Source organism: Homo sapiens, chromosome 11 (genome assembly GCF_000001405.40).
Source record: "Homo sapiens chromosome 11, GRCh38.p14 Primary Assembly".
In the NCBI taxonomy this organism is placed as follows: domain Eukaryota; kingdom Metazoa; phylum Chordata; class Mammalia; order Primates; family Hominidae; genus Homo; species Homo sapiens.
In genome coordinates, this window is record NC_000011.10 from 63,736,781 (window position 1) to 63,749,005 (window position 12,225).

General features: G+C 42.7%; 1 protein-coding gene across 12 annotated transcripts in view; it reads left to right on the top strand.

Moving 5' to 3' along the window:
- Positions 1–12,225, top strand: part of RTN3 (reticulon 3) — a 78,442-nt gene that overhangs the window by 55,331 nt on the left and 10,886 nt on the right. The window contains exon 4 of one of the 12 annotated variants that reach the window (XM_017017091.2): positions 10,167–11,600. The exons of the other annotated variants lie outside the window; for them this stretch is intronic. Coding sequence (XP_016872580.1) covers positions 10,167–10,279 — 113 coding nt within the window. The 3' untranslated portion in view covers positions 10,280–11,600. Of the gene's footprint in view, positions 1–10,166; positions 11,601–12,225 lie in introns of those variants that run through there. 12 annotated transcript variants of the gene reach the window in all.

A 12,225-nucleotide genomic window follows, 5' to 3' on the forward strand; every position in this document is an offset into this window, starting at 1 on the left:
TTATATCCTTGGGGATCCTGGAACGAATCTCATTCAGATACTGAGAAATGACTGTTTATATAACTCAAATGCAAAAACTAGAATGACTATCCCATCATATTCACAGGTTCTGTCCACAGTTAGGGGCAGGGGAAAGTGTTATACAAGGCATGTACAACAAGGGGCAAGAGTCTTGGAAGCTATCATAGAATCCTTTTTTTTTTTTTTTTCCCTGTGATAGGGTCTTGCTCTGTTCCTAAGCCAGAGTGCAGTTTTGCAATCCTAGCTCACTGCTGCCTCCTGGGCTCAAGGGATCCTCCCACCTCAGCCTCCTGAGTAGCTGGGACTACGGGTATACGCCGCCATGCCCAGCTCCATCTTAGAATTCCGCCTGCCACAATTCTAACTTCACATGATGTGCAGAAATTAAAATGAATTAGATCTCTGAACATAAAAACTAAAACCAAAAAACTTTTCCAAGAATGCATAGGAAAACATCTTCATGACATAGGGTAGGCAAAGATTTCTTAGGTAAAATACACTAACCATAAAATTAAAGATTGATGGCCAGGCATGCCGGTGTCTCATGCCTGTAATCCCAGCACTTTGGGAGGCCAGGGTGGGTGGATCACTTGAGGCCAGGAGTTTGAGACCAGCCTGGCCAACATGGTGAAACCCCATCTCTACTAAAAATACAAAAATTAGCCAGATGTGGTGACGGGCACCCGTAGCCCCAGCTGTTAAGGAGACTGAGGGAAGAGAATCACTTGAACCCAGGAGGCAGAGGTTGCAGTGAGCTGAGATCATGCTACTGCACTCCAGCCTGCTCAACAGAATGAGACTCTGTCTCAACAAAAGAAAAAAAAGGAAAATACTTTTTAGGTAACTAAGGTCAAAAGTTCACATTTTTAGATCCATACTATTCACCTGGAGAGGGGTAGACAATGCCATTTTGTTTTCTGTTTTATAAATCTGAAATTGAGGGCAAAGGGGATGGTAGGTTATTTTAATGAACAAACAACTATTTTTTCTGAGAGTGTGAGATGAACATTAGTTTGAAAGGGGTTCCTACATATTTCTCTGGCCTGCTGCCAGACTTATCTATGGCCAAAAGTATGTGTGTCTGTCTTTGACAGTGACAGCTTTGTATTCTGTCAGTGATCTTTCTGTGCCTTTTGAGGGGGTGGATTTCCTTGGTTAAGGATAAATCTGTAGCAGAGCAGAGTCTTAACCCATTTCAGCAGCCACAAAATTTGGGCCTGAGTTTACAAACACATCACCTGACGTCTCTTTTGCAACTCAAAAGTGGCTTCATTTATTATAACTATTAATGTGAAAGTAACCAAAGAAAAGAAATAATCTGTGTAAAAATGTCTGCATCTTTGTCTTTACATAAATTGTTCATATTAAAAAGCTTAACTGTTTCCCCTTTATTAACAGTTTCCTTTTTGAGGTTATAAAACATGGCCTTTTTTTTCCTTTTAGTTATTTCAGGCATGTTTGAGTGTTCTTAGGGATGTGTTATAGACAAGTTTTAAGAAACTGTTGCAAGGAAGGTGGAATGAATTGGAGATTTATTTGTTCTTAAAAAATGAAGTGGCTGGGTTCAGTGATTCACGCCTGTAATTCCAGCACTTTGGGAGGCCAAGGAGGGCAGATTGCTTGAGCCCAAGAGTTTAAGACCAGCGTGGGCATCAAACTGAGACCCCCATCTGTACAAAAAATTTAAAAAATTAGCCAGGCATGGTGGCATGTACCTGTAGTCCCATCTACTTGGGAGGCTGAGGCAGGAGGATCACCTGAGCTCGGGAAGTCGAGGCTACAGTGAGCTGTAGTCACACCAGCCTGGGTGACAGAGTGAGACCCTGTCTTTAAAAAAAAAAAAAAAAAGAAGGTAAAGCTGACAGACTACTAAACCTTGAAATTTCTTTCACATTTGTTCCTTTTCAGAATAAGTATTTGAACAGCTCTTCTTTTCTACCTTTGAGGTGTATACTTGGGAGAATAAAGTCAATTGACTTTTGGAAATGGCTAGTTAGAATCAAAACAAGAGCTTTCCCCAAATTCGGTAATAAAATTAACGGGTGAGGAATCAGTAAGGTTTACTGCTGTTCCTCCTGGAAATGGCACAAGACTGATTTCCTTTTTCCTTAGCCTGAGATTACCATTGGATGTGTTAGTGCCCTCTTCAGGTGTAACTTGGGTACTGCAGCCGGCGTCCTTAAATAACAGGGACAAGAAATAGATACTTTAATAAAATAAAACTTTAAAATAAATACCTTAAAGTTTTTAAAATAAAAGTAATATGGCCACATTACAAAAGATTTGGAAAATAAAAAGAAGGAATCAGTCGTAATTCCACCAGCAACGTAAACTCTTGGTGCAGACATTCCTTGTCAGATGTTTCATCTGTCATTAGCAAAATAATATAACTGAAAAATTAGTGATTTTACTTATGTAATGAATCACGAAAAGAGAAAAAAGTAAGGTCCTTTAAATGAAAAAAAATTAAGTGATATGATATTAAAGATAAAGTTGTAACCTGAAAAGTAAGGGAACATTGACTTCGTTCTTTTGAGAATTTTTGGCTTTTTATTTTTCCAGTACCTTTTGAACTAGCTTGGGTCACTTCCCTGTAGGACTTTAGGAAGAGACTAGCCAAGGCTTCATTCTTTCTCTATAAGGTTGTGTACTAGTGTGGCAGTTCGTTAGCCCATTGCCTCACAATTCTCTTCTGTTTTAGAACACCCAAGATAACACATAGCACACCCAAAGAAAAGGACATTCCCTGTCTGTATCAGTGGCTCTCTCCAGTAGTGATTCTCTACCTGACACATAACCAGAATCAAGCAATAATTTGTCCATAGCTTTAAAAAGGTGACATGCACCATCAGGAGTCAGGATCTACTCCCCATCCCACGTCCTTTATCCCATCTCACATGCAGCTGAGAGTCACTGACTTGGACAGTCTTCTCTAAAGAGTCTGCTCATAGAAGGTAAATTTAAGACATAAAAATGTTTAAGACTCTTAATCAAAAGACTTTAATTTTTTCTGATAAATTCAAAAAGATAGACTTTAACCAGCCCTGATGTTTGAGTGTAGATGATGAGGGAGAAAGAAGAGTGAACCCTATTTCTGTATTTGTCTTGGGTTTCTGGGTGGATGGTAGAACTATTTTCTGATCAGGGAAGAATGTCAGTCAGAAATGATGTTTTCTTTGATGTGTGGAATTTGAGGGGCTGAGATGCCTCAAAGTGATCCCTTCTGTTTCCGTAGCTTCAAATTACTACCTACATGTTGATAACTCCCAAATCTATACTCTATGTTGGTCTGGTCTGCCCCATAGGTGATGTATCATACTGCCTCTATCTCCTGGTCCTCTGTCTCCGTATATCATTTACACACCAATCTATTTAATCATAGTTCTGATAGCGCAACACTTTTTCATAGAAAAGTTTATATGGAAGTTTGATACATAAAATAGATTTGGTTAATAAGGCCCCTTCTAACCTCCCCATCTTAGTTTCTTTTTTTTTTTTGAGACGGAGTCTCACTCTGTCACCCAGGCTAGAGTGCAGCAGTGTGATCTTGGCTCACTGCAGCCTTCACTCCCCAGGTTCAAGTGATTCTCCTGCCTCAGCCTCCCAAGTAGCTGGGACTACAGGTGCCTGCCACCATGCCTGGCTAATTTTTTTTTTTTTTTTTTTTTTGTATTTTTAGTACAGACAGGATTTCACTATGTTGGCCTGGCTGATCTCAAACTCCTGACCTCGTGATCCATCTGCCTCGGCCTCCTAAAGTGCTGGGATAACAGGCATGAGCCACCGCGCCTGGCCTTTTTTTTTCTTTTAATAGAGATAGGGTCTCACTATGTTGCCCAGGCTGGTTTCAAACTCTTGGAATTCAAGCGATCCTCCAGCCTCCACTTCCCAAAGTGCTGGGATTACAGTCATGAGCCACCTTTAATTTCTTTGTATCTTACTGGCAACAAAGAGGAAAGGAAAAAATCTTGTTGCTCTATAGCTAACTTTAACTTCAATTCTTAAATTTTCTGTTACAATTGTAGCAGAGGTTGGCAGTCAAATGAATAATAATAGCTGATATTGTGTTACTATCTAATCAATAGTATTCTGAGCACTTCTACACATTAATCCACTTAATCCTGGCAACATCCCTATGAAGTTGATCTTGTATTATCCTATTTTACAAATGAGGGACCCGATGCACAGAGAGATTGAGTGTCTTGTCCAAAATCACAGAGCTGGCAAATGGAAGAGGATACAAACTCAGGCATTCTGGAGCCAGAGTCATTTCTGTGCTGTACTAACTCTAAAGCTGGGGATAAAGTATTTTACTAGGTAGGGATCCATGGCCAAGTGGAAGCCAGGAAGCATTAAGGGGTGAAATAATCTTTATTTTATTATAGTTATTTATTTATTTATTTATTTATTTATTTTTTGAGATGGAGTTTCGCTCTTGTCGCCCAGGCTGCAGTGCTGTGGCTTGATCTTGGCTCACTGCAACCTCCGCCTCCTGGGTTCAATCAATTCTTGTGCCTCAGCCTCCTGAGTAGCTGGGGCTACAGGCGTGTGCCACCACGCCTGGCTAATTTTGTATTTTTAGTAGAGAGGGGGTTTCACCATGTTGGCCAGGCTGTTCCCAAATTCCTGACCTTAAGTGATCCACCCGCTTCAGCTTCCCAGAGTGCTGGGATTACAGGCATGAGCCACCGTGCCCAGCATTTATTTTTTTTTTTTGAGACAGCGTCTCATTCTATTGCCCAGGCTGGAATGCAGTGGCATGATCTTGGCTCACTGCAACCTCTGCCTCCCGGGTTCAAGTGATTCTACTGCCTCAGCCTCCCCAGTAGCTGAAACTTACAGGTATGTACCACCATGCCCAGCTAACTTATGTGTTTTTAGTAGAGATGGGGTTCTGCCGTGTTGGCCAGGCTGGTCTCGAATTTGTGACCTCAGGTGATCTTCCCGCCTCAGCCTCCCAAAGGGCTGGGATTACAGGCATGAGCCACTGCGCCTGGCCTGAAATAATCTTTAAACATCTCTTAATGCACAATTGTCTGTTTCTGGATTTTCTATACCATTCTATTGCTCTATTATCTTTCGACCAGTACTATAGCATCTTGATAATGGTAGCTTTATATTTAAAATCAGGTCATGTTAATCTTCTAACTTTATTTTTCAAAGTTGTTTTGGCTCTTCTAGGTTTTTTTTTTTTTTGAGATGGAGTCTCGCTCTGTTGCCCAGGCTGGAGTGCAGTGGCGCGATCTCAGCTCACTGCAAGCTCCACCTCCTGGGTTCACGCCATTCTCCTGCCTCAGCCTCCCAAGTAGCTGAGACTACAGGCACCTGCCACCACACCCGGCTAATTTTTTGTATTTTTAGTAGAGATGGGGTTTCACCGTGTTAGCCAGGATGATCTCGATCTCCTGACCTTGTGATCCACCTGCCTCGGCCTCCCAAAGTGCTGGGATTACAGGCATGAGCCACCGCGCCTTGCCTGGCTCTTCTAGGTTCTTTACATTTGAATTTGCATAGGAATTTTAGATTAGCTTGTCCATTTTTACAAAAACCTACTAGGATTGTAGGCCAGCGCAGTGGCTCATGCCTGTAATCCCAGCACTTTGAGAGGCCAAGGCTGGTGGATCACTAGAGGTCAGGAGTTCGAGACCAGCCTGACCAACATGGTGAAACCCCGTCTCTACTAAAAATACAAAATTAGCTGGGCATGGTGGCACACGCCTGTAATCCCAGCTACTTTGGGAGGCTCAGGCAGGAGAGTCGCTTGAACCTGGATGCGGAGGTTGCATTGAGCCGAGATCATGCCACTGCACTCCAGCCTGGGCAACAAGAACAAAACTCCATCACACACAAAAAAAAGAAAGGATTGTGATTAAAGTCGTGAAGAATTATAGGTCAATTTGGGGATAATTAATGTCTTGGCAATTTTGAGTCTTCCAACCTTTGAAAACAGATAGCTCTCCATTAATTTAGATCTTTGTTGGTTTCTCTCAGCAATGTTTTATAGATTTCACTGTACTGGTCTTATATATCTTTTGTGAGATTTATACCTAAGTTTATATATATATATTTTTGTTTGTTTGTTTGTTTGTTTGTTTTGAGATTGAGTCCCACTCTTGTCACTCAGGTTGGAGTGCAGTGGCGCGATCTCAGCTCGCTGCAACCTCCAACTCCTGGGTTCAAGCGATTCTTCTGCCTCGGCTTCCCGAGTAGCTGGGACTACAGGTGACTGCCACCATGTCTGGCTAATTTATTTTATTTTATTTTATTTTTTGTATATTTAGTAGAGACGGGGTTTTGCCATGTTGACCAGGCTGGTCTCAAACTCCTGACCTCTGGTGATCCGCCTGCCTTGGCCTCCCAAAGTGCTGGGATTACAGGCATGAGCCACCGCGCCCAGCCTGTTTTTCTTGACTTAGTGAGCTGGCTAGAACCTTTAATACAGTGTTAAACAGGAGTAGAGGCAGAGAGAACTTCTTGCCTTCTTTCAGTAAGTACGATGTTTGCTGTAAGTTACTGGTAGATTACCTTTATCAAGTTGAGGGATTTCCCTTCCCTAGTTTCCTGAGATTTTAAAATCAGGAATGAATGTTGGATTTTCTCAAATGCTTTTTTCTGTATCATATGGTTTTTCTTTTTTAGTTGTTAATATGGTGAATTATGGAATTCTTCCTTGGTGGAATTCTTTAAAATGGAGAATTATTTTGATTATTGAATGTTAAGCCAATCCTGTATTTTTTCAAAAGAAACACCTCAGTCATGATGTAGTATTGCGTTTATTTATTGTTGTGTTTGGTTTGCTAAATTTTTGTTAAGAATTTTCACAAGCTGGGCACAAATGTCAAGTGGCTCATGCCTACAATCCCAGCACTTTGGGAGGCTGAGGCGGGCGGATCATCTGAGGTCAGGAGTTGGAGACCAGCCTGGCCAACATGGTGAAACCCTGTCTCTACTAAAGATACAAAAAATCAGCTGGGCGTGGTGGTGCGCGCTTGTAATCCCAGCTACTCAGGAAGCTGAGGCAGGAGAATTGCTTGAACCCGGGAGCCAGAGGTTGCAGTGAGCCGAGATCTCGCCATTGCACTTCAGCGTGGGCAACACACTGAGACTCCGTCTCAAAACACAAACAAAAACTTGATGAAGGAAGATAAAGGTGGGAAAGGGGCCAGGCACAGTGGCTCACGCCTGTAATTCCAGTGCTTTGGGAGGCCGAGGCAGGCAGATCACGAGGTCAGGAGTTCGAGACCAGCCTGGCCAATATGGCAAAACCCTGTCTCTAATAAACATACAAAAAATTAGCCGGGAGTGGTGGCAGGCACCTGTAATGTCAGCTACTCGAAGGCTGAGGTGGGAGAATCGCTTGAACCTGGGAGGCAGAGATTGCAGTGAGCCGAGACCACACCATTGCACTCGAGCCTGGCGACAGAGCAAGACTCTGTCTCAAAAAAAAAAAAAAAAAAAAAAAAAAGTGGGAAAGGAAGGAAAGATAACACATTAAAAAATAAATAATTTCCTGTTTTAAAAAGTAGTTATGCATTGATTACCAGTGGGATACATTCTGAGAAACGTCATTAGGTGATTTCATCATTGGGCAAATACCATAGTTAACTTACATAAACCTAGAAGGTATACTACTACATACCTATGCAATATGGTATCATCTATCGCTCCTAGGCCACAAATCCATACAGCATGTTACACTATATTGGATACTGTAGGCAGTGTGGTACAGTGCTTAGTATTTGTACATCTAAACATTAAAAAAATACAGTAAAAATACAATATTCTAATCTTATGGGACTACAGTCATATATGTGGTGCTTTGTTGTCCACATGTCATTTAGTACATAACTGTACTATACTCAGCCAGAACAGGTACATGAAAATAAAAGAGAATGAAAAGAAAGTTTCTGCTGGTCGCTGTGGTTCACACCTGTAATCCCAGTACTTTGGGAAGCCAAGGCCAGTGGATTGCTTGAGCCCATGAGTTTGAGACCAACATGGGCAACATGACAAAACCCTGCCTCTACAAAAAATAGAAAAATCAACCGGGAATGGTGGTGCACGCCTATAGTCCTAGCTACTTGGGATGCTGAGATGGGAGGATGGCTTGAGCCCAGGAGGCAGAGGTTGCAATGGGTCAAGATTGTGCCACTGCACTCCAACCTGGGCGATACAACCAGACCTTGTCTAAAAAAAGAAAAGAAAATTTCATGGACGCAAACCATGCAGCCTCTTGCTGGTTATGAAATACACACTAGAACTAGTGTAAGTCTAGTGGCTTCATTTTAAACTATTGGCAACTGCCTCATTTCTCACTTTTTCTTCATATTTTTCATCCTCTTCTCCCCCAAGGTATTAGAGAGGGAAAAGTTTCCAAAAACCATGCCAGTTTCCTTCCTTTGGTGTTCTATACTTGGAATCCTTAGTCTTCTGTGGTCAATAGAGTCATGTGCAAAAACTTGACTAGTTTAAGGGGAATTATTAGGAAACAAATGGTTTTGCTGTCTTTTGGTCATTAGCTTGGCCCCATGTTTAAGCATTCGGTAACAACTGTGAAGAGCCTGCTACAAATAAAGTGGTAGGTGCTCTGAAGAAAAATAAAGCTGTTAAAGGGAATAGAAAGTGATGAAGGCAGGGGCTGTTAGACAGGCTGGTCAGTGTCTGAGGAAGTAGCCCTGCACTGAGACCTGAAAAGTAAAGAAGCAAGCCATGGGGAGTTGGGGAGGAGCATTCCAGACAGAGGCTTGATGTGTTGAACCATCTTTTCCAAGCTCTTCCTCTGTTACCTTCTCTTTAGTCACTATGTCCCCTTTCTATCCCAGACCATAATTCCACCATTTATCTTAAGGCTGAGCCCAGGGCCTATATTATTATGCAGGTTGTTTACTGCACACATCTAGGGGCACTGTTTACACTTGTTATCTTTGTAGGTTTGAATATTTCTATTTCTTATGAGTTTTCCAGCAGATGGCAGTAACACGCATGAAGACAGGGTGACTTTTTCTAGTTTGCACAAAGGTCTTTTTTGAGACGGAGTCTCACTCTTTCACCCAGGCTGGAATGCAAAGGTGCGATCTCGGCTCACTGCCACCTCCGCCTCCCAGGTTCAAGTGATTCTCCTGCCTCAACCTTCCGAGTAGCTGGGAGTACAGGCACGCACCACCATGCCTGGCTAATTTTTGTATTTTTAGTAGAGACAGGGTTTCGCCATGTTGGCCAGGCTAGTTTCGAACTCCTAACCGCAAGTGATCCACCCACCTTGGCCTCCCAAAGTGCTGGGATTACAGGAGTGACCCACCGCACCTGGCCTAAAGGTGTAGACACTCTGATTTGCATCTAGGCACATGTCGTCTTTATCCCTTTTCCTTCTCTGATACATCAAGGTCCTTTTCTCTCTGGGTCCTAGCCTCATTCTCTAAGTTTCCTCTTCCTGTCTTTCAAATATTTTGAATGTATAGAAGAATTACAGTTGTGCTACAAGGAAGTCCCGTATAATCTGCACTCTAGTTCACCAGTTGTTATCATTTGGCCACATGTGCGTTATCATCCCCTCCCTCTCAGTATAGATAGATGTTTTTTTCCTGAACCATTTGAGAGCTGATTGCAAACATTCTGCCTCTTTACCCCTACTTTGGAGTGTGTTTCCATTGAACAAAACATCTTTGTTTTACGTAACCAACGAAAGTTATTGTTAAGGAAATTTTGCTTTTTGTTTTTTGTTTTTTTTTTTTGAGACGGAGTCTCGCTCTGTTGCCCAAGCTAGAGTGAAGTGGCGCAATCTTGGCTCACTGCAAGCTCTGCCTCCCAGGTCCACGCCATTCTCCTGCCTCAGCCTCCTGAGTAGCTGGGACTATGGGCACCCGCCACCACGCCCAGCTAGTGTTTTGTATTTTTAGTAGAGACGGGGTTTCACGATGTTAGCCAGGATGGTCTCGGTCTCCTGACCTCGTGATCTGCCTGCCTCAACCTCCCAAAGTGCTGGGATTACAGGCGTGAGCCACCGCACCCGGCTGTTAAGGAAATTTAACAGTAATTTAGGAAATTAAACATTGATAAACAGTACTTTTGTCAATTATATAGTACACATTTAAATTTTGTCAGTTGTACCAATGATGTCTTTATAGCTGTGTTTACCCCTTTTCCAGAGTCCAGTCTAGGATCACACTTTGTGCCTCATCCTGTCTCCTTACTCTCCTTTAATCTGAGAATTAAGATTAAAAGAAGTAAGTTCCTCAGCCTTTCTCTTTCACACCACTGACATTTTTGAAGACTATAGGCCAGTTGTTTTGTAGAATATTTCTCAATCTGGGTTGGTCTGGTGTTTTCTGATTAGATGCAGGTTACATGTTTTGGGCGGGAATACCATAGAAGTGATGTTGTGTCTTTCTCAGTGCATGCACTATGTCTGGAGGCATATGGTATCTGTTTGTTCTACTACTGATGACGTCGGCCCTCTAAGCCTTCTGTGTTGAAACTGTTCCTTGTAGTTATATGAATTCTAACATGTATATGCTTGAACTCTGACTATAGGAATTCTCCTACTTACAGGAATTCACTCTTAAGTAGGCAGTATTCTATTAAGTTCTTCTGTTCAATCTCTTAGTTCATCAAGTGAGCCTGAGTTCCCTCCCAATTCTTTCTCTCCTTTGCAGCATCACTATCTGGGACTCTCGGGTTCCCATCAGGAGTCATAATACCTTCTCTTTCTCCTAGTAAGTTGCATCCCTTAGCCAGACTCTTTGAACCAGTGATTACTTCTTATATACAATCAGCATATTTTTAGTGTTTTATTGAATCAAGTTAAGGTTCTTTGGCTCTAGGAAGGTTAGTCTTCAAAGAAATGGTTTCAGAAGAGAGCTGTATAGCTGAATGTGGGGAAGAACTAGGTACCCTCAAGACAACTTGAATCACACCCAGTTCATTTTATCGCAAATAAGTCTTTTCCGCTAACCTTATTTGAATTACTGCATGTCATTTACACTGTCTTAGCCTCTTTATTCCTTAAACTCTAGGAGGTAGATTTCATTTTCTTCATTTTTCAGATGTGAGGAAATGGAGGCTTGGAAAGGTTAAAGTAATATAGTGAGAAATTACCAGGACTTAAACTCATGTCTCTCCAACTCCAAAGCCCTTGCTCTTTTTTGAGAGCAGAGAGTGGCTGGGAGGAAAGTCCTCTAGCTATTCATGGTGAAATTAGCCTTCATAGACAGAAATACAAAAGGTAATGGCAGCCACGTGCAGAGGCTTATGCCTGTAATCCCAGCACTTTGGGATGCCGAGGCGGGCAGATCACTAGAGGTCAGGAGTTCGAGACCAGCCTGGCCAATATGGTGAAACCCTGACTGTGTCTCAAAAAAAAAAATAAAAGTAATGTCACTGCTAGATTGGAGGTGATTGCCGGCACCTGCCACTCAGAGAGTTGGAGGTGTCTTTAAACCAGGACCATCCTGGGCAACTAGATCTTACAGTTGGGGACTTACAAACTGGGAAAATCGAAATACTTCTACTTAAACTCATTTCCTGACATAATTATTAATAGTGCCCCACTCACTTTTTTTTTTTTTTTTAAACAGTCTCATTCTGTCACCCAGGCTGGAGTGCAGTGGCACGATGTTGGCTCACTGCAACCTCCGCCTCCCAGGTTCAAGTGATTTCTCGTGCCTCAGCCTCCCGAGTAGCTGAGATTACAAGTGTGCACCACCATGCCCAGGTATTTTTTGTATTTTTAGTAGAGACAGGGGTCTCACCATGTTGGCCAGTCTGGTCTTGAGCTCCTGGCCTCAAGTGATCCACCAGCCTCGGACTCCCAAAGTGCAGAGATTACAGGCGTGAGCCCCTGCACCCTGCCAGCCCCACTCACTTTTTTTTTTTTTTTTTTTTTTTTTAGACGGAGTTTCGCTCTGTCACCCAGACTGGAATGCAATGGCGCGATCTCGGCTCACTGCAGCCTCCGCTTCCCGGGTTCAAGCGATTCTCCTACCTCAGCCTCCTGAGTAGCTGGGACTACAGGCACATACCACCATGCCCAGCTAATTTTTATATTTTAGTAGAGACTGGCTTTTCACCATGTTGGCCAGGTTGGTCTCGAACTCCTGACCTCAGGTGATCCGCCCGCCTTGGTCTCCCAAAGTGCCAGGATTACAGGCGTGAGCCACCATGCCCGGCCCCCACTCACTTTTTTTAAGAGTACTGCAGCTTGGCCAG